General features: G+C 43.5%; 1 protein-coding gene across 4 annotated transcripts, besides 4 other annotated features; it reads left to right on the top strand.

The window, feature by feature from the left end:
* Nucleotides 5,215-5,714: an enhancer, noted in NCBI's record as "H3K4me1 hESC enhancer chr2:175629201-175629700 (GRCh37/hg19 assembly coordinates)". NCBI's record gives its function as "activates a minimal SCP1, AML or CMV promoter by ChIP-STARR-seq in naive H9 embryonic stem cells {active_cell/tissue: H9 hESC(naive)}" and the evidence as "EXISTENCE:reporter gene assay evidence [ECO:0000049][PMID:30033119]".
* Nucleotides 5,715-22,595, top strand: CHRNA1 (cholinergic receptor nicotinic alpha 1 subunit). Of its 4 annotated transcripts, NM_001039523.3 has the most exons (10): nt 5,715-5,835; nt 10,554-10,699; nt 10,812-10,856; nt 12,167-12,241; nt 12,512-12,621; nt 15,773-15,968; nt 16,447-16,684; nt 20,018-20,241; nt 21,368-21,607; nt 21,932-22,595. In NM_001039523.3, exons 1-10 carry the CDS (start codon nt 5,793-5,795, stop codon nt 22,061-22,063), a joined length of 1,449 nt encoding a protein of 482 aa, NP_001034612.1. In that variant the 5' UTR covers nt 5,715-5,792; the 3' UTR covers nt 22,064-22,595. The 4 variants fall into 4 exon arrangements, with proteins under 4 accessions (NP_001034612.1, NP_000070.1, XP_016858745.1 ...); NM_000079.4 differs by lacking the exon at nt 12,167-12,241; XM_017003256.2 differs by lacking the exon at nt 5,715-5,835 and having other exon boundaries at nt 10,282-10,699.
* Nucleotides 8,012-8,306: a silencer, noted in NCBI's record as "tiled region #14969; HepG2 Repressive non-DNase unmatched - State 21:Repr". NCBI's record gives its function as "represses a minimal TATA promoter and a strong SV40 promoter by Sharpr-MPRA in HepG2 cells {active_cell/tissue: HepG2}" and the evidence as "EXISTENCE:reporter gene assay evidence [ECO:0000049][PMID:27701403]".
* Nucleotides 17,473-17,542: a silencer, noted in NCBI's record as "silent region_12130". NCBI's record gives its function as "represses an Ori minimal core promoter by ATAC-STARR-seq in GM12878 lymphoblastoid cells {active_cell/tissue: GM12878}" and the evidence as "EXISTENCE:reporter gene assay evidence [ECO:0000049][PMID:35858748]".
* Nucleotides 18,890-19,069: an enhancer, noted in NCBI's record as "active region_16786". NCBI's record gives its function as "activates an Ori minimal core promoter by ATAC-STARR-seq in GM12878 lymphoblastoid cells {active_cell/tissue: GM12878}" and the evidence as "EXISTENCE:reporter gene assay evidence [ECO:0000049][PMID:35858748]".

Raw genomic sequence — 23,979 nt, 5'->3', positions numbered from 1 at the left:
CCTCCAATTCTGCCCCCTTAAACCTATTTCAGTCAGGTTTCACACATGTGAGGTTGCCAGTGGCCTGCCTCCATAGTGCTAAGCCCCGTAGCCATTTCTGTCCTCATCTCATGGGCTCACCCCCACCCCACCTCCTGCACTGGCCTTTACCAGGCTTCCAGAACTCTACCCTCTTGTGGATCTCCTCCTGCCTCACTGTGTCCTCCTTCTCAGTCTTCTTCGCTGCACCCTCCTCTTCTTCTCAACTTTTTTTTTTTTTAATGACACAGAGTCTCACTCTGTTGCTCAGCCTGGAGTGCAGTGGCATGATCATGGCTCACCGTAGCCTAAACCTCTTGAGCTCAAGGGATCCTCCCACCTCAGCCTCTCAAGTAGCTGGGACCATGGCACACACCACAATTCTTGGCTAATTTTTTTTTTTATTTTTCATAGAGATGGAGTCTCACTATGTTGCCCAGGTTGGGCTCAAACTCCTGGCCTCAAGTGATCCTCCTGCCTCAGCCTCCCAAGTTATTTCCCAACTGTTTTTTTTTTTTTTCTTTTTGTTTTTGAGATGGTGTCTCACTCTGTTGCCCAGGCTGGAGTGAAATGGTGTGATCTTGGCTCACTGCAACCTCCACCTCCCGGGTTCAAGTGATTCTCCCGCCTCAGCCTCCCAAGTAGCTGGGATTATATGTACCCGCCATCATGCCTGGCTAACTTCTGTATTTTTGTAGAGATGGGGTTTTACCATGCTGGCCAGGCTGGTCTTGAACTCCTGACATCAGGTGATCCACCCACCTTGGCCTCCCAAAGTGCTGGGATTACAGGCGTGAGCCACCACGCCCAGCCTCCAACTTAATGTTAGTTCTCTTCTCTTTTCTGCCCATACTGATTCCTTTGACCTTATCCTGTTGTGGCTTTAAACAACATCTACTCTAGATTTCCCAAACTACTGACTCAAAAATCCAACTGCCTGCTCACATTTCTAATGGACACCTCCAGTTGATCACACCCCAGGCAGAACCCTTGAATTTTCCCCCCTTTAAACCTGCTCATCCACGGTCTTCCTTAATCCACTTGTTGGCATTTAAATCCTTCCTTATGCTCAAGCCAAAACCCTGCAAATCATCTTAAATGCCTCCCTTTTTCTTGCATTCTAGATCAAATCCTTCAGGAAATCCCATTAACCCTCACGTCAAAATACATTTCCCAAATCTAACGACTTCTTACCACCTTCACTGCAACCACTCTGGTCCAATTCATCACCATCTACCTCAGGGATTACTGCAGTAGTAGCTCCTAATTTACACCCCCACAGCCTGGTGTCCCCAAAGCAGCCAGAGTCGACCTTTGACAGCATATGTCAGATGGTGTCACCCTTCGGCTCAAAATGCTGCAGAGGCTCCTCATCTCACAGAGAATGAAAGTCGAGGATGCGTGTTGCGTCCCCCTTCCCTGGGCTGCTCCCTGACCTCATCTCCTAGCAGTTTCCCCATCTCTCGCCCTGCTCCAGCCTGCCAGCTTCCTGGCTATGCCCGAGATCACCAGTCCCATTCCCCTCAGGGACTGCGTTGCTGCTCACTCTGCCTGCAATGCTCCTGCACAGATATCTGTCTGCATCTCCTTCAAACGCCACCTCCTCAGTGAAACCCACCCTACCTGCTGTGTTTAAAATTGCAATCCCCTTCCAGCTGTCCTGGTCCCCTTTTATCCTGCTCTGCTTTTTCTTTTTCCTATAGCAATTTTTACCTGATGACACATTAAACAATTTACTTATTAGTTATAACAATTTACTTATATAAATTATATATATCTTATTTATATAACATATAAGAAAAAATATATAAAAATATATATTTTATATAAATAAAAAATATACATCTTTTTACAATTTATATATTATATATGTTTACATGTATAATTTATTGTATATGTTTACATATATAATTTATTGTATATGTTTACATATATAATTTATTGTATATGTTTGTATATTATATATAATATATAATGTTTATATATTATGTATGTTTATATATAATATATGTATTTCATATATAAATATATAAATATATTTATATATACATTTATATATATTTTATTTATAATATATGTATATGTATATATAATATATGTTTATATATAATATATGTAAACATATAATACATGTAAACATATATGTAAACATATACAGTCAAACATATATGTATATATATAATATATAACCATATATTATATAACATATGATATAAAAATAAATTGTTAAAAGGATATATATCTTATTTATGTAATATATAACATATGTAATATATATAAAAATAAATTGTAAAAAATATATATTTTTTTAATCATCCATCTCCTCCAATTAGAATGCATTTTTCCTGAGAACCAGGAATCTTTGTCTGCTGTGTTTATTGATGTATTCCAAATGCCTAGAACACTGCTTGGCACATAGCAAAACCCAGTGAAAAAATTTTTAGTGAATGAATGAATGGAATGCATGGAAACAGGGTCTGAACAGACACAAACTAAAACATCAAAATAAATATTCTGGGTAGAAGGATAGCAGGTCTTTTCATTCATCTGTTCTCTAATTTCTCTAAAATAAATTCAAATTACTTGAATAATAAACTTTTAAATGAAAAAAACAGTTTACTCCTGAGGATAATATTAATAGTAGTTTTAGTAATTTTTTTTAGTCTATGGTTTCAACTGTTCACCTTTAGAAGAGATTTTTTTGTTTAAATTGTGGGAGATCACAGTTTGTTTAAACTGTGGCAATAAAGGGGGAAAGCCTCCAATGATATCACTGTGAAGACCCCATGCCAGGCAGTGGGAGAAATTCTGTCTTGAGTTGAGGTCCCCCTGACCCTGTATTGAGTTGACTTGAGAGGTGGCAGATTGGGGAGAAGAGACAGAGAAGGAGAGGAAGCCAATAAAGGGAGGGTTATTGAGCCATTTCCATCATGGGCAACAGGAACTCACTCCCACAGACATAGAGTGTAGGGCACGCTTGGGGGTTACCCAGTCCAAGGGGAGATGGGGCGGGGATATTTATCCTCCAACATTGGTTGAGGCCTGTTTCTGGAGGCAGTAACACTTTAGCATCTCAGGCTTGTTTCATGTGTTCCCATGGCCAAAAAAAAAGAAAAAAAAATCCCTCGGTTACAGGGTTGCAGGCATTGGCAGTAAGCAGAAAGCCAGGGTAGGCACAGAGAAGGTCTCAACAGATTCCTCGATTCGACCCGATTCTGCTCTGTGGGTGGAACTCCCTTGTCCGTTGCTGTTTGAGGTTCCTGGCTATGCCCCGGGGAGGTTCTTCCTTGCCCACTTTCCCTCACGGCCACAATTGAAGGAGGGGATGGAGAAAGCACCCTTTTTGGAAGACTGTGCAGATCTTGGAGCCTGCTTTCTGGCCGTGTGTGTTTGGGAACTCAAGGACTGCTTTAAGCCTTGAACAACCAAAACTTTTGTAGCCTGGGTTAATGAACTCTTTGGCAATATAATTCCTTCAAATACTGAGTAAGCTTCTGCAATATTTGTTTCCATCATTCCCATGTGCCTATATACACACATGGTCACAATTCTTTAATCTGATTAATTTCTTTGCATCCTAACCACTATACCTCTCTCCTTCAACTTAATAGCAGCCATCTTGAAGCCATCTGAAAAAAAAAATAGATTTGGCTGTGAAGAAAGCACCCTTAAAGTGATCTTTGCTGTGGTGATGAAACTGCCTGTTTAAAGAGAAGTCTTAACGGGCTTTGGTTGCTCAAAGCCTTTATTCCATGTTTTCACTTACTCTTTTGAAGTTCAAAACAGAAGACTCCACATTTCTGGACTCATTCTATTTCTTTTCATTTCTGCTCTTGAACCAGCACATTTTTGCCTGAGCTCAGCTCTTCCTTGTACTGACTTGCTAAACAAAGCCAGAAAGAGCCATGGTGCACTAACTTTGGGTTTACCAGCCTCTATTCTGGGAGCTACAGGCTCAGTAGACACATTGTTCACCAAGTAATTGAGGACAACAGTTTATGAAATGATTTGATACCATATAACATGGGTCTTCATATTTTCAGCCTCCAGTATCAATTTTCTTGCCTTCTGCTGCAGTGCTACATATTTTAGAATTTATTTTTAACCTCAGGATACTAGTGCAAAGGATTACATATTTTATTAATTACGGAACACTAGCTGCTGTACAAATAAACCCAAGGATTTTGATGGCTCAGCACGATGCATGTTTTGTTTTCATTGAAATAGTGCTGGGTGGTGAGCAGGTGGATAGGGGGTCCCCCTCCATGCAGTCATTCAAGGATTCAGAATGTCAAAAGCAACACCACCTTCAGAACATGGTTTCTAAGGTTAACTTTGGGACCATGTCCATTCTAGCCGGTCAGAAGACTAGAAGGGCGGGGCTGAGCTCTGGTAGGTTTGTGAGTCTGAGAACATTTTTCCACTCATGCCACTGGCCAGAGGTCAGTCCCATGGCTCCATTTAGATGGAAGGGGCTGGTCAGAGGGTGGGGGTTGTATTTCTGCCACGGGGCTATTCCATGGAAGGGAGAGAACCAAATTTTTTTTTAGCAAACAGTTAACTGATCTCCCACAGTTTAAACAAAAAATATAAATAGTATGAGCTTGCAGCTCTCTCCTCTACCCTCCAAGCCCCTTCTCTAATGATTTGTTTGGATCCACTGGAATGAGAGGATCTGTCAGGATGTTGTTGTGGGCTTGAGGTGAGAGGACCTTTCTCACCTAGTTCCATGTGGGAAGGAGGCCTGGAAGGAACAGGCAGGGTACCTTTAAGTAACTGTCTCCTTCTGGGAACTCACCTCACACCCTGCAAAGAAGCACAGCTAGGGTAACAATACTTCTCAGACTGAGAAATTACTAACTGCTGGTTTTTAGGATGTTTTTCAAGCAAGATAATTGAAAAGCTGAACCACTCTGCTCTTTGCTTCCCTGAGTGAGAGTAGGCAGAGGGACGGATGGAAGGAGGCAGGAACCCGGAACGACTGCTGATGCGGTGGGACACTTTTTCCCAATAATTACTCTTCGCTTGAATCACAGTGCATAGGACGTGGGCAATTTGCTCCAGCTAATGGTTCGTGTGGGATAGGTATTGCCTGATACAGAGGCAGGGGTTGGAACAGCCACTCTGGGGGCCAGTAAAGCCAGTTTTATGGAAGAAGCTGTCTTTGTTAAAAACCAAACCCAATCAACGTGGGGGCTTCCCAGCAGCAGACTCAACACCAGCTACACTTTTCTGAAATCCAGGCAGTCAGAAAAGCCCCCGGCACCCTCAGCCTAACACTGAAGCAGAGGAAATGAAACTGAAGCCATGTTTGCAGAATGTGGATTTTTGTGGTTTAGGACAAACAGCTGACTATCTACTCAGACCAAATGACCCTAATCAAGTCAACCCACAGAGATGAGGTTCTGGTTTACACAAAAGAGAGGCAGTTTGCTCACCATTTAAAATAATTCCTTCCTTCCTATACATTTTTTTTTCATTAAGATCTGACTACTGGTGCATTTAAAATATAATGCAGTTCATACTCAGCTTGTCAAGGGTAAGCAATTGTGTAAAGTGAGGCATATCTGTAATGGTGTACAGTCCCAGTAACTCCCTGGGCTCCAGGGCTGAGGGCAGCCCAGCTGTCGCTCCCACAAACAGGTGGTGTAAAACAATAGCTCTAGTGAGCCGACTCGCTTTCCAAACCCTCCAGCAGACAAGCACCCAGCCAGAGTGCCAGTGAGAAGCACAGGCCACCACTCTGCCCTGGTCCACACAAGCTCCGGTAGCCCATGGAGCCCTGGCCTCTCCTCCTGCTCTTTAGCCTTTGCTCAGGTAAGTGCTGGGGTCAGGGGTGGGGAGAGGGCTCTCCTTTGAGGCTAAAGTGCTGGAGGCCCCCAAATCAAAGTCTTGCTTCTTTGATGAGACCACAGAATGGCAGAGCCTCCCCAACCAGGGGCTGCTCTGTCAGTTTCTTCCTGATGTTAGCTTGATTGAGTTTTTGGATAAAGATTTTTAGTTTGCCTTATCTAATTAAAATAGAAACTGCCTGGTCAAAGACTTCAAGATAGACACGCATGTCTCTCCCTCCATCATGCCTGGCAGCCGACTCATCCCTCTGAACACTCGGCACCATTTGTAGGACCTGGACCACTTGTGGATCATGGTAGTGTCCGGGGGTTCATATTTAAACAACTATGGATACTTAGAACAGTGCCTTATAATCACATACAATGGAGTTAACAAGTCCCTTTACTGCTCCAGGAGAATTCTAATAATAAAGAGGACTGATTGACAGCTACATGTGCTGGAGATAGAAACCAGTTAATAATCATAACTAAACTCTCTCCACAGAGACAAATATTTTTTAATTTTTTCAAAATTTCTGAAGTTAAAAAAAATTCCATATGAATACATTCCTACCTACTTTTTTTTTTTAAGATGTTACTATATATAGGTTTGGGTTTGAATTGAAACTATAAAACCTTGCACAGCATTTGACCTGCATTCTACTCTGGAATGTGTCCTAACACAGCAGCTGAAACACCATCCTGAATCCCAGACTTCCGCTAGAGGGAAACAGGAGATGTTTGCTGATTGCTTCACATAAAAGTTTACTGGTGATATCATCCCAACTGAGAAACAAGGTGGCTGACATCCTGTGATTTTTCATTTCCAATATTGCTCTGAAAAACACAGGCCTTCTGGTCAAGAGGCAAAAAGCTTTATTATTAATTTTTTTCAATATCAGAGTTGAGTGAAAGAGCCTAAACTCAGATAAATTATATCATGTGGGATTTGGACTCTGTCCAGCCAAAGCTGGCCTGATGTGTGTGTGTGTGTGTGTGTGTGTGTGCGCGCGCGTGCACACACATGCGTGCACGCAAAACCACAGTCACAGGAAAATTCTTAAATGATATGCTTTAATGTAAACATCCTTAAGAGATCTCTTAGGATTTTGGTTATTGCTAACCAAAAATGCATGATTAGCTATTAAAGAAGTATGTGATATGTATTTAGGTCAAATCTCGAGTTTGCTGGCATTGATTTCCATGGGTGTTTTATAGAAATTTAGAGCTAGATCAGGCAGTCCAACATCCTCAATTTTTTATTACAAGGAAACTAAAGCTGACCTGCCCAAGGTCACTTAATTTATACATTTTGGAATGTGGTCAGTTGGAGACTTGGTTTATTACATGCACAGTCAGAAAACACAGCCTGAACTAGCCAAAGGTAGCAAGAGATACAGAATCAGGTTAAGATAATAATGATCCATGGGACTAGTAACAGTTCAAAATTTCTTTTGCCCAGCCCAGGGAGCTATTTCCTACATACAAATACAAATGGAACCAGTGTGGTACAAAAGGAACACTTTGAAACTGTGGTTGAGTTTCCCTTCTTAGAATCAGTCCTTTGTAGACAAAATTGTCATTTATATCAGGGACTCTTTTCCTGTGTTAGCTTAACACAGCGTGATCTCTGTTCTATTTATACAGCACTTTTCATTTCAACTTTTTCTTTTCTTTGCCTCTGGAATCTCAAGCACTTCATTGCCGTCTTTCTTACGGCATATCACTTTCCAACTTGTTCACAGTTATTTACGTAAATGACAAATGTCAATCTCCATGAGGGTAGGAAGAAGGATTCAGTTTTGAATATCTCGAAGCTCCCAAAACAATGCTTTGCTTACAGTAAATGCTCAACAAATATTTCATGAATAAATTAATGTTACCATCATCTGAATAAAGATTACAAATATAATCTTGCTAAAAAGGGGAATTTGACATTATTTAATTTTTTATTTGCATATTTGTTTATTTACACCCTACCTTTTTACAAAAGTATTTACTGTGATTCGTTGAATCCATGAAGAACTAATCCAACTCTCCAGGCCATATGGGAGTTGGGAAGAGAATCATAGAGTTCTGACTTTGAGCCCTGTGAGTTTTCTATCACTCTACCCTGTGCTGGGGAGGAAAAAAGAAAAGAATACCAGTGAACCAATCTAAGAAATGAAGCCCTCCTTCCTTAGAAATTCCTTATGGAAGGAACAGGCACCTTGTTATTGGCTAGGGTGGGAAAGGAGGAGGTGACTGTCTCTGAAATGCTGATTATGTCTGCTTCTGTCATCCTCCCCTTCCTCTTAGTGGGCCATAGGGTTGGTCTGCATAGTTCTCCTGCTACATAATGCTGACCATCTGCTCTGCCCTCTGCTTTCTAATATGTTCTTCCTGTCAAACTGGAGTGAACAGTCATTTAAAAATAAGCAGCCCAAGGCAAGGCCAAAGCAACAGCTTCAAATTCAATGGCCAAGGTGCTCAGTAATCCATTCCAGTCTGCAACTCCACCATGGGATGGATGAGGCCCAGGATAGAAAATGCATAGAGGACAGAAGGATTATCAAGTCCCAGGGGCTCAATGGGGTGGTTGCAAAAACGGAATATTCAAACAACATATTCCCTTCAAGAGTCCTCAAATGCAGGTGGCTTTAGGGAAATGTCATGTGAAATCTCTGCGTGGTTGGGCACTGAGTGCCCTTGGAACATTTTGGGTTCAGAAAACGTGTGAAACTAGCCGGGTGAGGTGGCTCTTGCCTGTAATCCCAGCACTTTGGGAGGATGAGGTGGGTGGATGGCTTGAGCTCAGGAGTTTGAGACCAGCCTGAACAATGTGGCAAAACCCCATCTGTACAAAAAATACAAAAATTAGCTGGGTGTGGTGGTGCGCACCCAGGTAATTTTTGTATTTTTTATAGAGATGTGGTCCCAGCTGCTTGGTTGGGGGAGGCTAAGGTGGGAGGATTGCTTGAGCCTGGGAGGTCAAGGCTGCAGTGAGCTGTAATTGAGCTACTGCACTGCAGCCTCAGCAATAACCTGCGGAAAGGGGAGATCTGGTTACGTGAATGAAGGCAAATGTATCATGTGTCTACTTCCTCTCCCAGCTCTGAACACACAGTCCCCAACCCACGGAAGGCTTGAATTACAAAGATCCTTCATAAGACACTTGGGATTTGGAACACATTTTCTCATAGGAATAGTGGCACTTGCAGTTCTGAGTTTCCAGGACAGCTCACAACACACTGTTAGTACCAAGAATTAGCCCAGAAGCTCAGCACAAAATGACAGGATTCCAATCTGAGCTTTGCCCTTACTGGTCACATGACCTTGGACAAGTGGTCCAACCTCCCTGAATCTCAGGTAAGAATGTCTGCCCTCCTGCTTCATCTGTGGCTGATGAAGATTGAAAAGGGGTGTAGATAGAAAAGGGGGCCGTGGGTTCTGAGAGTATTAGATGATATTGCTCTCTATACTGAAGGAAAATGTAGTAAAGATTCCTTGGAATCGCTTATGTTCCAACTAGGAGCCCCAAACCCAGGTCAACAAAGCACAGTTTTCACTCTATTTTAACAACTTAACTGGGACATGGACCTGCCAGCAGTGATATTTTAAAAAATCGTGGTAAAATACCCATTTCATAAAATTTACCATTTTAACCACTTTAAAGTATACAATTCAGTGGCATTAAGTACATTCACATGTTATAAGACCATCACCACTATCTATTTCCAGAACGTTTTCATCATCCCAAAGGGAAACATCAAGCACATTAAGGAGTCCCACCCGATCCCTCTCTCCCCCCCAGTCCCTGGTAACTCCTGCTCTGCTTTCTGTCTGTATAGATTTACCTATTCTGGATGCTTCATGTAGATGAAATCATACAATATTTGCCCCATTGTGTCTGGCTTCTTTCACTTAGTAAAATGTTTCCAAGCTCCATCCATGTTGTACCATGTGTCAGTACATCATTCCTTTATTCCTTTTTCATGTCTGAATAATAGTTCATCGTAGGGGTATACCATAATTTGTCCATCCATTTACCTGTTGATGGACACTTGAGTTGTTTCCACCCTTTGGCTATGGTAAATAATGCTGCTCTTCTTTTGGGTGTGGACCTAGGAGTGGAATTGCTGGATCGTATGGTACCTGTGTTTAACTTGTTGAGGAACTGCCATTTTACATTCCCACCAGCAACATATGAGGTTCCAGTTTCTCTGCAACCTCCCCAACCCTTGTTATTTTCCACTTGTTAGTTATGGCCACTCTAGTGGGTTTGAACCAGCATCAATTTTGGCTGTTCATGGCATCTTGAGATCTGATGCAGCCAGTCCAAGATTTCATTACACTGCTCTGAAACACTGAGATTGGCTTTTTTGTGGGCTTTTTTTTCGTGTGTGTGTGTGTGTGTGTGTGTGTGTGTACCTGGCAAACTTGATTCAGCCAGGCTGTATGAAGGAATGTCACCTGTCCAAAGTACAAGCGTTGTGATTACCTGGCACACCCCACTGTCACCGGGTAAGGGACCACACCAGCAACTGTAATTGGAAAAACACAAGGCAATAACTGCTGCATTTGGGAGCCTTTCAACAAGGAGGCCTGTGTGCCTTCTGTTAGAAGGAACTGAGGCTTATGCCTCAGTTCCTCAGTTCCTCATGTTCATGTGTTTGGAGGGTGGGGAGAAGAATCTGACAGTGTTGGTGTCATCTGCTGTCTCAGCTGGCCTCGTCCTGGGCTCCGAACATGAGACCCGTCTGGTGGCAAAGCTATTTAAAGACTACAGCAGCGTGGTGCGGCCAGTGGAAGACCACCGCCAGGTCGTGGAGGTCACCGTGGGCCTGCAGCTGATACAGCTCATCAATGTGGTGAGACAAGAGCACTGGGGGCCTGCCCACACACCCACACCTCTCACCCCTGGGTTTCCTCCCCTGGGTCCCCTCTCTCCCCCATAAAAATGATCCTTATTTTTTTTTCCAGGATGAAGTAAATCAGATCGTGACAACCAATGTGCGTCTGAAACAGGTAACTTAGCCAGATAATTGCATGTGTGTCGTTTTCATTCACACTGAAATTAAACCTGGGCCCAGAGGAAATCAATATGGGTAACAGGGATATATACCAAAATGTTGAAAGTAGATATTTTGAGATGGTGAAAGCATGGATCCTGTTTGGTTTTGGTTTTGCTTTTTTTTAAACTTTAGGGCTTTTTCTGTGTGTGTTAGTTTGCTAGGGCTGCCATAACTGTGTGGCTTAAACAACAGAAATTTATCATCTCATAGCTCTGGAAGATAGAAGTCCAAAGTCTAGGTATTGGTAGGGTTGGTTCCTTCTGAGGGCTGTGAGGAAGAATCTGTCCTAGGACTCTCTCTTCAGCTTGTAGATGACTGTCTTTATGTTCAGATGGCGTTCTTCTTGTGTATGTGATACATATACATATGATATATATGAATATATATGTATATTTAAATACATATATATCTTTAAATTCCCCCTTTTTATGAAGACACCAGTCATATTGAATGACAGTCTATTTTAATGACTTCATTTTAACATAATTACCTCTGTAAAGAACCTATCTCCAAATTAGGTCACGTTCTGAAATACTGGGAGTTAGCGCTTCAGCATGAATTTTAGGGGGACACAATTGAACCCATAGCATTGTGCTTTCCAGCTTTACTGCAATGGGCACATACAGGTGGAGTACTCCTTTCCCAAAATGCTTGGGACCAGAAGTGTTTCAGATTTTGGTTTTTATTTTGAAATATTTGCATATACTTACCAGTTAAACTTCCCAAATCTGAAAATCTGAAATTCAAAATTCTCCAGTGAACATTTCCTGAGTGTCATGTTGGTGCTCAAAAAGTTTTGGATTTTGGAGCATTTTGGATTTCGGAGCATTTTGGATTTCAGATTTGGGATCCTCAACCTGTATTACTTTTCTTTTGAGACAGAGTCTCACTCTGTCGCCCAGGCTGGAGTGCAATGGCGCGATCTCGGCTCACTGCAACCTCTGCCTCCCAGGTTCAAGCGATTCTCCTGCCTCAGCCTCCCAAGTAGCTGGGACTACAGGCGCCTACCACCACGCCCGGCTAATTTTTGTGTTTTTAATAGAGACGAGGTTTCACTATGTTAGCCAGGCTGGTCTCGAACTCCTGACCTCAGGTGATCCACCCACCTCAGCCTCCCAAAGTGCTGGGATTACAGGCATGAGCCACCATGCCCAGACTTTACTTTTATAATGTAGAAAAATATATGGTACTTTTTAAAAATGATGTTGCCTGCTTGAGAAAAACGTTCACACTAGGTCTTTCTCCTTTTCTGTGGGTGGACAGGGTGACATGGTAGATCTGCCACGCCCCAGCTGCGTGACTTTGGGAGTTCCTTTGTTTTCTCATCTGCAGAATGAGGTCAGTAATCACCCTCCCCTCACGGGATTGTTGTGAGGACTAAATGAGTTAATATAGGTAAGTTGTTTGAAACAGTGTGAGCACGTCGTCAGTGCTATATATTTGCTGTTCTTATTTACTGAAGTGAAAGCTAAATTCTGAATCCAACTTTTCTTATGGAAGCACAATTTCTGTCAATACTGAATTCCCATGCACATCAGGGCTCTTGATAACCTTAGATTTTAGAAAGTGTTTTTGGCTTTTTAATTAGCTGTATGTCTTTGTTTCTAGCAATGGGTGGATTACAACCTAAAATGGAATCCAGATGACTATGGCGGTGTGAAAAAAATTCACATTCCTTCAGAAAAGATCTGGCGCCCAGACCTTGTTCTCTATAACAAGTGAGCAAACTGCATGGGTGGCGGAGGGTGCTCCTGGGGCAGGTGGAATAAAGTGCCCTAATAGAAGGGCTGCGCGCTCGGAATGCTTCTCACCACTGCTAATGTTAAATCACCCAGGATGGTGGCTCACACCTGTAAACTCAGCACTTTGGGAGGCCAAGGTGGGAGGATTGCTTGAGGCCAGGAGTTTGAGATCAGCCTGGGCAACATAGCAAGACAACATCTCTACAAAATTAAAAAAAAAAATCACTCTAAACCAAGAGCCAAGTTGACGGGCTAGGGGTGCCATATGGTGTCTCATGACTTAAAGAGAAGGGATTACTGCGGCCAAATTGAATCCAGGCTGAGGGTGGGGGACATTTGATCCCTGAGAGCCCCTGAAGCATGTGTGGCAACTTTCCAAGGCACCCAAACGTCCTATCGCTGAATTCCTTGCAATCTAGTGTCTTCCCTACCAAATATTTCTGAGCCTCCTAGGGTTGTCACTCATCACATCCTGAACACCTTCTCGACATCCACTGCTGCTGTTGGCCTGGGATGCCTTCACTGCCCATCCACTGGGCCCCACGACAGACTGCATGTTGTGAAATTATAATATTATTCAAGACGTTCTGGTCTAATGACACGTTCATTAGCATACGCCCTTCATTTGTCAGGAAATGCTCGTTTCAAAAAGCATCCTTCCCAGGCAGGAGCATGCAACACCGGCCGGGAGGATTTATGGTCTGACATTATACAACATGTGTCGGGGGTCCACAAGCTGTGTGTCCTAGCAGACTTAGGGAAGGTGACAGGGCTAGTGGATGAAAACGATACCTTTTAAGGCGGGCCTTTTCAAGCTTTGATTTTCTGCCACACGTCATCCAATTATACCTGGGGTTCAAGCTTGAGCCAAATTATCCGATCATTTGTGTAATCTTTTTGGACAAATGGGCTGATGAAGTATCTTTCAGTTTCTCTTCCAGTAGGAATCTGAGAAGAGCAATTAAAATCCTTTGGTTCTTTTGCCAAACTCACTCAGGATCACCCTGGTGAGGAGAGAACACTGTTTTGTTGCTTATTGGGAGAGACTAAGACAACCCTATGACTCTCTGCCCTTTGGGGCTGCTTTGGGTGGGTCCAATGCCACATAGTTTTCCAGGTAAAGAGCCCACTTCAGGCCCAAGGAAAAATCAATGGGAAGAAAACCTCTTGATTTATGACATGAGGGACCAACATATGCCATGATGTCCCTGAAATCCCACTGAGACAGACCTCATCCTGCCCATTCAACACTTATTCTAACACCCTGCCCTCTGCTAAATCCCTTGAACAGACTGCTGTTTACGGGAAGAGTAAGTAGTCCACTGAATAAGGCCGGCAGAAATGGCTTATTTTGTTTTTTTAGAACCTCCCATGGTTTCTGTCTTTTTAAAAATAATAAATCATTGCCAACATTTGAAAACCAAGAAACATCACATTAAAATCTATTTTTTAGCCTCTCTAGAAAAATCCAACATTTAAACTTCCAGATTTTTTTTTTTTTTTTTGAGACAAGGTCTCTGCTCCATTGCTCAGGCTGGAGTGTTGTGGTGTGATCATAGCTCATTGCAACCTTGAACTCTGGGGCTTGAGCAATCCTCTGCCTCAACCTCCCAGGTAGCTGGTACTACTGGTGTGTACCACCATGCCTCGCTAATTTTTAAAGAAAATTTAGTAGAGATGAGGTCTCGCTGTTGGCCAGGCTGGTCTCAAACTCATGGACTCAAGCGATCTTCCTGCCTTAGTCTTCCAAAGTGCTGGGATTACAGGCATGAGCCACTGTACCTGGCAAAGTCTGGCAATTTTTGATTTAAAAAAATCTACGTTTCACTGGGCGCAATGCTCACGCCTGTAATCCCAGCACTTTGGGAGGCTGAGGCGGGCAGATCACAAGGTCAGGAGATCAAGACCATCCTGGCTAACATGGTGAAACCCCGTCTCTACTAAAAATACAAAAAATTAGCTGGGCGTGGTGGTGGGCGCCTGTAGTCCCAGCTACTCGGGAGCTGAGGCAGGAGAATGGTGGGAACCCAGGAGACAGAGCTTGCAGTGAGCCGATATCACGCCACTGCACTCCAGCCTGGGCAACAGAGGGAGACTCCATCTCAAAAAAAAAAAAGAAAAAAAATCTAAGTTTCCAGCTTCCGAGGAAGAATCCAAATCTGGCAAGATTGGGCCTTCATTCCCACATGGGCGCCTCAGGGGACACTGCAAGGTGGCACCTTCCTGACAGGAGAGAGGGGCGCTCTGTTCAGCAGTGTCAGCCTGCACTCATTCCTCACCTGCCTGGCCCTGGAGATATCTGAGTTTGTGAGTCCACCCCAATGAGTTCTAAATCGTTCTTTAAAAAGTAGTAGGCCAGTCAGGCACGGTGGCTCACTCCTGTAATCCTAGCACTTTGAGAGGCCAAGGCAGGCGGATCACTTGAGGTCAGGAATTCAGGGCCAGCCTGGTCAACATGGTGAAACCTAGTTTCTATTAAAAATACAAAAATTAGCTGGGTGTTTGGTGGGTGCCTGTAATCTCAGCTACCTGGGAGGCTGAGGCAGGAGAATTGCTTGAGCCCGGGAGGTGGAGGTTGCTGTGAGCCAAGATTGCACCATTGCACTCCAGCCTGGGTGACAAAGCGAGATTCCATCTCAAAAAAAAAAAAAAAAAAAAAGAGTAGTAGGCCCCTTCCCTAACCTGCTTGTCGCAGTAATGAGTCGCTGGAGGTGTTTTATGTAAAATTCCTGTGTTTTTTTTCCCCAACATAGTACATCAGGGAGGTGATAGATGAAGATTAACATTACAAATACTTGTGAGGGCTGGAAAAATAATCTGGGATGCAGTGGACCCATGTTACCTGTTATTTCTTTAAAACTGTGGGTTCCCACATTCTTTCCCAGATACTCAGATTCAGGGTTTACTTAGAGGGTGTGCAGAACTCTGTATTTTTAACAAGCACCCCAGTGATTCTTATTATCAAATATGGGGAACATTGCAATAGATAAAAAGTGACGCTGCCCGAAACAGAGCTTCTATAATTAGCACCTGAATAATTAACAGCTGTCTCCTGTTAACGTCCCCAAGCAGAATGGAAGGCTCATCTGTCACTTGGAGCCATTTTCCTCTTTTATCCCAATTGTAGTGCAGATGGTGACTTTGCTATTGTCAAGTTCACCAAAGTGCTCCTGCAGTACACTGGCCACATCACGTGGACACCTCCAGCCATCTTTAAAAGCTACTGTGAGATCATCGTCACCCACTTTCCCTTTGATGAACAGAACTGCAGCATGAAGCTGGGCACCTGGACCTACGACGGCTCTGTCGTGGCCATCAACCCGGTAGGTGGTGGCCACATATGATAAGGGTGGTTTCAGGAAAATTGTGATTCGGGTCTCCAACTTTTCCTTGGACAATCATAGGCTCTCAGTACCAGTTAGAACTTAGGAATCATCTAGTTTGATGGTTCAAGTTGATTGGGAAGGGAGAACTAAATGGGAGCTTAAATTAATTTGCTACACCCAGGCTCAGTCTCAAGAATTCTGATGTAATGGGCCTGGGGTGGCGGTAGGGCATCAATATGTTTTAAAGCTCCCAGGTGACTTGAATGTGTAGCCAAAATGGAGAATGCTACTAGTCCAAACCCCCTTATGTCATAGGAAAGGCATCTAAGACCCCAAAGCAGTAGTGTCCCACAGTCCCTCCTGGGTGTGTGACCCACAGAGCTGGAATCTGTGGCCTTGTCACTGCTGATTACAAAACGCTGCCCCTCATCAGGGTGACCTGCCTGGGATTTCCAAACCTCACTTCCTTTCTCAGGAAAGCGACCAGCCAGACCTGAGCAACTTCATGGAGAGCGGGGAGTGGGTGATCAAGGAGTCCCGGGGCTGGAAGCACTCCGTGACCTATTCCTGCTGCCCCGACACCCCCTACCTGGACATCACCTACCACTTCGTCATGCAGCGCCTGCCCCTCTACTTCATCGTCAACGTCATCATCCCCTGCCTGCTCTTCTCCTTCTTAACTGGCCTGGTATTCTACCTGCCCACAGACTCAGGTGGGTGTGGTTGCCATGACTGCTGCTGCTGACGCTGATGGGTCTCGTGCTGCTATTTTGGGGAAGCCAGAAATAATCATGTGCTAACAAACAGGCAGATCGACCCGAACCATCATCATTAGGAGGGTGCATTTGCTGAGTGGGCGTGCGCAGTGGTGAGAGTCACTGTGAGTGGAGCTCACAGCTGGGGCAGACACCCCGAGCGGCAGGGAGTTGAACATGACCCTAGAGATGCACAGTGTAGCTTAGGCTGGTTAAAGTACATTAACCACCAATACCTATTTGCTGAATACCAACTGTGTGCCCAGAAGTGTACTGGGTAAGGCATGTGATCCCAGACACTTCTCATGCCACTTCCACGATGAAGTCACTTTCTATGTACTGACTAATCCTGGTCTTGCCCCTTTACCCACTGCTCACCACTTGAAAATAGATTTTGCATATCTTTTTTTCCAGATGGTGGCATCTTCACACACAAGACCCTACTTCCCAAGTGGCTGTTCTTTCTCACATATCAGCCTAGACAACTTACTTACCTCCTACTGAGTAATCCTATCTGTGACATAATTTTATCAAACAATAACAATCCACCAGAAAGGAGGAAAGGGTACCCATCTGCCTGCCAGCAAGTCACTATTCATAAACAACTTATGGCAGACAAGTTTGAAAAAAAGAAAGATGCTACAGACAGACCTCAAGCTTATGACAGGTAGCAATTTTTATCAAAATGACTTTAAAAAAAAAAAAACCACAAAATCTTAAATCCAACTTGCCAACTAGGAAAAAAGATTATTCATTTACTCATTCAGTGAATATTTGTTGAACAAATATGATGTGGTAGATAGACCGCAGAGAATAAGACAGAAAGTGCCTCACCCCTCAGAGTGCATGTTCCAGTGACTGCATTTGGGGTTTCATTTTTGTTTTTGTTTTGAGACCGGGTCTCACTCTGTTGCCCAGGCTGCAGTACAGTGGCATGATCACGGCTCACTGCAGCCTCAACCTCCTGAGCTCAAGTGACCCTTTCACCTCAGCCTCCTGAGTAGCTGGGACTACAGGCATGTGCCACCACACTCGGCTAATTTTTGTATTTTTTGTAGAAACGGGGTTGCACCATGTTGCCGAGGCCAGTCTCGAACTCCTGGGCTCAAAGATCTGCCTACCTCGGCCTCCCAAAGTGCTGGGATTACAGGTGTGAGCCACTGTGCCTGCCCTGCACTTGTTTTTAAACAAATAATCACAAACACAATTCTTTCAACTTTCTAATCAAATGAAACTTTTTTACATTAAAAAAATAAATAAATAGAGATGGAGTCTTGCTATGTTGCCCAGGCTAGTCTCAGACTCCTGGCCTCAAGTGATCCCCCTGCCTTGGCCTCCCGGGGTGTTAGGATTACAGGCATGATCCACCGCACCAGGCCCTCAAATGAAACTTTTTAAAATAAAAACACTGTCGGGGCATTATGGGAACTAACAAGAGTCTCTATAAACGTTAAATGATTTGTGCTTGAAAAGTGCTTAGGGGCCAGATGCAGTGGCTCACACCTGTAATCCCAGCACTTTCGGAGGCCAAGGCGGATGGATCACTTGAGGTCAGGAGTTTGAGACCAGCCTGGCCAACATGGTGAAACCCCATCTCTATTAAAAATACAAAAAATTAGCCAGGTGTGGTGGCACGTGCCTGTAATCCCAATTACTTGGGAGGCTGAGGCAGGAGAATCGCTTGAACCCTGGAGGCGGAGGTTGCAGTGAGCTGAGATGGCACCACTGAACTCCAGCCTGGGCAACAGAGTGAGACTCCCTCACAAAAAAAAAAAGAAGAAAAAAAGAAAGAAAAGAAAGAAAGAAAAAAGAAAAGCACTTAGCACAAAAATTATGCTTGATAAATGTTGGCTATTATTATTATCATTATTATTAATCAACAAATTTTATATAAGTGGACAAATATTTTGTATTTGTAATTGTATTCTTTTTCACTTTGAAAGGTTTTCCTACCCACCAGGTAGAATTGACAATTTCTTGTTTGTTTCCACTCTTTATCGTATACATACATACATATTCTATATATATTCTAGCATCCGGAAGCAGCCAGTAGGGGACAGCTTCATCATTGAAAGCAGGGTAACACAAGGGTTTCCAGCAGCACCAACAGCAAGGCCAGCCCAGGGAAAGTCCCTCCCAGAGCTTCTCTGCTGCACCTAAGGTGGTCAAGCCTCACAAAACTACCTCAGTGCCATTCGGCCCCTGACCTTCCTGCTGCCAAGTTTGCCCAGCCAAAACTCTCCTGAGATCAAAGGGCCTGCAGAAAAGAGGTGGGGGCTGGGGAAATCCCTGCTCCCTTAGTATGCAAAAAAAACAAAACAAGAAATAAGTGAGAAGACAAACTTCCTCTTATATGAAAATGAGACAGCGAGTGGTGTGAAACCACTGTATCAGAAGATCACTCAGGACGTCAAGGAGAACTCCTTAGCCTTCCGGATTTTGTCCTTTTCTTGGGTTTTGGTCTTACAGCTTGCTCCCTCAATAACAGAAAGATATGTGTACTTCTGGGCTGCCCATTCATCTGCTGGGTAAGAAATAGGCCAGGGGTGGTTCCGTTTTATGAGGTTTAATGCATCCTGCTGCAGAAGGGAAATGCCACACCGAGTCCAGCTTGTCCACCCAGAACTCCTTTCAGTTCCCTGGGTTCCACCAAGAATCAGAAATCTGGAGCATGAGATGAAATATTGTTCCGTTTTCTGCTTGGCAGCCTCTAATGGAAATGCTTGCCACTGGCTGCTGTCAGAAAAGTTAAGGTATGGTGGTTACATAGGAAATTCTGCAGAAAAAAATGCTTTGAGATTTCCCAGAATAATGCTTTGAGAACATGTCAGTCACATTCCTCTTACCCTTGGGTTTCAGTGGTGAATTAGTTTGCTTGGGCTGCCACACAAAACACCATAGGCTGTGAGGCTTAGATAACAGAAATGTAATTTCTCACAGTTCTGGAGACTGGAATTCCAAGATCAAGGTGCCAGTAGAGTTGGTTTCTTGTGAGGCCTCTCTCGGTTTGTAATGGCCATCTTCTTCCTGTGTCCCATGGCCTTCCGTCTATGCATCTGTGTCCTAATTCCTCTCCTTATAAGGACACTAGTCATACTTGATTACTCACTACCCCATATCACCTCGTTTTCATTTAATTACCTCCTTAAAGTCCCTGTCTTCAAATACAGTCACATTCTTAGGTCCCAGGACTCAGGACTTCCACATATAAATGGTGGGGTGGGAGGAACACTGCAGCCCAACCCAGATGGGTAGTTGTGGGATTTTTTTTTTTTTTTTTGGTCTTTTCAGGGGAGAAGATGACTCTGAGCATCTCTGTCTTACTGTCTTTGACTGTGTTCCTTCTGGTCATCGTGGAGCTGATCCCCTCCACGTCCAGTGCTGTGCCCTTGATTGGAAAATACATGCTGTTCACCATGGTGTTCGTCATTGCCTCCATCATCATCACTGTCATCGTCATCAACACACACCACCGCTCACCCAGCACCCATGTCATGCCCAACTGGGTGCGGAAGGTGAGTGGGGAGGCCCCTGCAGACTTCACACGGAGGCACATCTACAGGCCTCCCCTTCGAGGAGCCAGTGGGTTTCTAGCTAATACTTGGGGCTATTTAGGAACTAAGTTCTCTTTGGGCTTTAGGGAATTTTTGGAAGGAACTTTCTTTGGCCTCTTTTTAGGAATAAATAACTCCTGTAGCCTTCCCAGAGAGAAAAGAAAAACAGAATTAACAAAGCTCATTCCAAATTCAAGTTTAAAGAATCTCTTTGATCAGAGAAGATGAACAAACGGCTGCTTTTTATTGAAATGCCGTGAAATTCTCGCGATTTCTTTTGTATGTTTTCCAATCTGTGAACAGACTGGCTTATTTTTTGCTGGTGAAATCATCTGTTGAGAATAGAATGAATAGAATGAGGGCTAGAGATGGGAGGGTTCCTGATGAGAGAGGGTCAAAAAGTGAGTTTTAGTGAAGGACTAGGTCTGAAATAGTTACGTTATTGAATTTAAAAATTTAACATTTCAAATATGTCTTTCTTTGACAAAACTTTACAGAGACACTGAAGTCCAGGATCTTTTGTCCAGAATGTAAAATATTTGTCAGGAATTGACAAAAGAAGCTACTGCTCACAATGTACTCTTTTAAGAGGAGAGTAAGAGTCCCTGTTTCTGTAAAGGCTGATAGATGACTGCTGGCAATACCTGTACTGCAGTTTCTTCAGGAACAGGAAACAGAAGAAAACAATCTAGCTGTTTTGTGGGATATATTTGAAGTGGAGGGGCCCCTTCTTTAACCATTTGATCCTGGTGACACATTGCTAAGGCATTTTCCATACCTGTAGGGGATCCTGACGCTTTTAAGCTCATTGGTGGCCCCAGGTCGATGACTGCACATGGGCTCCCTCCAGTGGCGAACTTCTCACATTACAGAATCATCACTGTTAACCATAGTCATTTCACAGGACCCGGGATACAGAGGGATCTTTGAAAAAATCTAGTATAGTTCTTTTGTTTTAAGGACAAGGAGGCTGAAGCCCAGAAAAACTGAATGACTTACCCCAAATCACATTGATAATTCAAAGACAGAGTTTTATGCTTGCCTCCTGGACAATAATTCTCATGCATGGATTTCTTTTTTATGTTAGGTTTTTATCGACACTATCCCAAATATCATGTTTTTCTCCACAATGAAAAGACCATCCAGAGAAAAGCAAGACAAAAAGATTTTTACAGAAGACATTGATATCTCTGACATTTCTGGAAAGCCAGGGCCTCCACCCATGGGCTTCCACTCTCCCCTGATCAAACACCCCGAGGTGAAAAGTGCCATCGAGGGCATCAAGTACATCGCAGAGACCATGAAGTCAGACCAGGAGTCTAACAATGTAAGCTTCGTGGCTTGAAATTCATGCCTCTGGGTTTAAATGGTCAAATGTATGAGCACAGGTGGTGAGTCTGACTTAACAAGTAGGTGGCATACAACAGGCAGCTACTGACCTAAGATGAACCCTGGTGACCGCCTCTAGACCACCTTAGTAAGTTATCACTTTGTAAATAATCTATTCAAAAAATAAAGACGATGCCAGCCAAGGGATGGGAGGACTTTGAGATCTACAAATTGAAGGGCCCATAGTTGATGCAAAGCACAAACGTTGTGAGTCCAGAAACCACCTTAGGGAGACTCTGTCTAACATTTTCCTCTCTCCCAGGCGGCGGCAGAGTGGAAGTACGTTGCAATGGTGATGGACCACATACTCCTCGGAGTCTTCATGCTTGTTTGCATCATCGGAACCCTAGCCGTGTTTGCAGGTCGACTCATTGAATTAAATCAGCAAGGATGAGCAGAAAATGAGCTGAGCTTAGCTCTGCCCTGGAACCTACCAGAGCAGAGAAGGGCAGGAGAGGAAGATTTGTCTACTTGCTCCACTCGCACTTATCAAACGTGTTATATTCCATACTTATTATTGATGATAAGATTTACCTTTATGTAAGTTTATGGCCTTGAAGTGTTTTCATATTGCTTCTCCCTTTAGTTCTGCTGTCTCCCTGAAGAGTGAACCCTCTTTAGTAAATGAAACTAATCACTAAAAAAAGTGTTCATTTCCAGTGTCTGGAAGAGTTTTTGCCAGGATAACCGAGGTTTTCTGTTGCATTGTCATTGCTGTTATATTTATATATTTACTTATTTTGTCTAACCACGAGACCACTAGGGAGTTGCTGATGTTCTAAATGAAGTGTATTCTTTGCTTAAGAGTCAGTTTTGTACCTACTAAGAAAACCCCATCTACCAGTCCTAAAGAGATAAGGCATTTGATTTGGAGAGAGAGGAAGCAGTAGAAATGAAATAAACTAAAATGCAAACTGCATCAAAAATCCATGGGTTTTTTTGTTTGTTTGATTGTTTTTTGAGACAGGGTCTTACTCTTATCACCCAGGCTAGAGTGCAGTGGCCCGATCTCGTCTCACTGCAGCCTCCACTTGCCAGACTCAGGTGATTCTTCTACCTCAGCCTCCCGGGGTAGCTGAGACTACAGGTGCATGTCACCACACCCAACTAACTTTTGTATTTTTTGCAGAGACAGGGTTTTGCCACGTTGCCCAGGCTGGTCTTGAACTCCTGGGCTCAAGTGATCCACCCATCTTGGCCTCCCGAAGTGCTGGGATTACAGCTGTGAGCCACTGCCCTTGACAAAAAAAATCCATGTTTTAAAGCAGCTTTCTAGACCTGAGAAGTCAGAGAAGGTTTACCAGTCTCATATGGCACCTGGGCTTGATAAGGGTCTGAAAGGAAACAAGTCCAAACAATAGGGCCTAGGCACTACGGAAATTGTCTTGCCTGTATGGGTTTACTTCATCATCATCCCCTTCATAAAATCCTAGAATGTCCCTATTTTACAAATGAGAAAATTAAATTTCAGGGAAATCCTGTAATGTCCCTATTTTCCAAATGAGAAAATTGAATTTCAGGGAGGTTAAGTTCTTTGCTCAAACTAGAAGAACTGGGATTTGAATCCAGACTTTGAGATTCCAAAGCAACTCCAGGCTGGGTCAGTTCATCTGTTCACTGGCTCTCCCAGCCACCCCTGGCTCCATCTAGGCCATCCTGTAACTCTGCTCAGTGTTGTCAAGAATTTCAGTCTTAGCAAAAAACCATCTTTCTGTCTTCCCAATTAAAATTTGTGCCTTCCACCCACCACCAGCCCTTATTCCAATCATGTTTGAGGTTCAAGTCCTATAAATGAAACCAGAAATGTATTACGCATCATCACCATTTCTAAAATTCTGAAGAAGTAAGTAGAAGAGAAATTGATTTCTTTTCACATTGTAAACTTTAATCCACAGTATAGTTTGCCCAAGAACTAGAAACTGTGCAGCTACGGGCCAGGCTTAGTTGATGGCCTCCAAATCACCATAACCCAACTGTATTTGTCAGGGTTCTCCAGAAACACACAACCAATAAGATATGTGTGTGTATCACAGTTTCTAGTTGTTGGGTAAACTATATTATGGATTACAATTTACAAGATGAAAAGAAATAATATATATGAGAAATCATAAATATATCTATGAGGCTGAGAAGTCCCACAACAGGTTGTCTGCAAGCTGGGATTCCAGTAGCATGGCTCAGTCCAAATCTGAAGGCTTCAGAACCAAAAAAGCCCATGGTATAATTCTCAGTCCAAGGCTGAAGGCCCAAGAACCCAGAGGGAACATCAGTCTAAGTCCTGGAGTCCAAAAGCCAGAGAGCCTGGAGTTC

This window comes from Homo sapiens, chromosome 2 (genome assembly GCF_000001405.40).
Source record: "Homo sapiens chromosome 2, GRCh38.p14 Primary Assembly".
Taxonomy (NCBI): Eukaryota; Metazoa; Chordata; class Mammalia; order Primates; family Hominidae; genus Homo; species Homo sapiens.
This window is presented reverse-complemented; position numbering and strand designations above follow the sequence as displayed.

Bases quoted from the DNA above. Each gene is read 5' to 3' on its own strand.
- CHRNA1 (XM_017003256.2), top strand. From the start codon at position 10,490: ATGTTCATGTGTTTGGAGGGTGGGGAGAAGAATCTGACAGTGTTGGTG. The intron at 15,969-16,446 runs GTAGGTGGTGGC...TTCCTTTCTCAG, and splicing joins CTGTCGTGGCCATCAACCCG to GAAAGCGACCAGCCAGACCT. The intron at 21,608-21,931 runs GTAAGCTTCGTG...CCTCTCTCCCAG, and splicing joins CAGACCAGGAGTCTAACAAT to GCGGCGGCAGAGTGGAAGTA.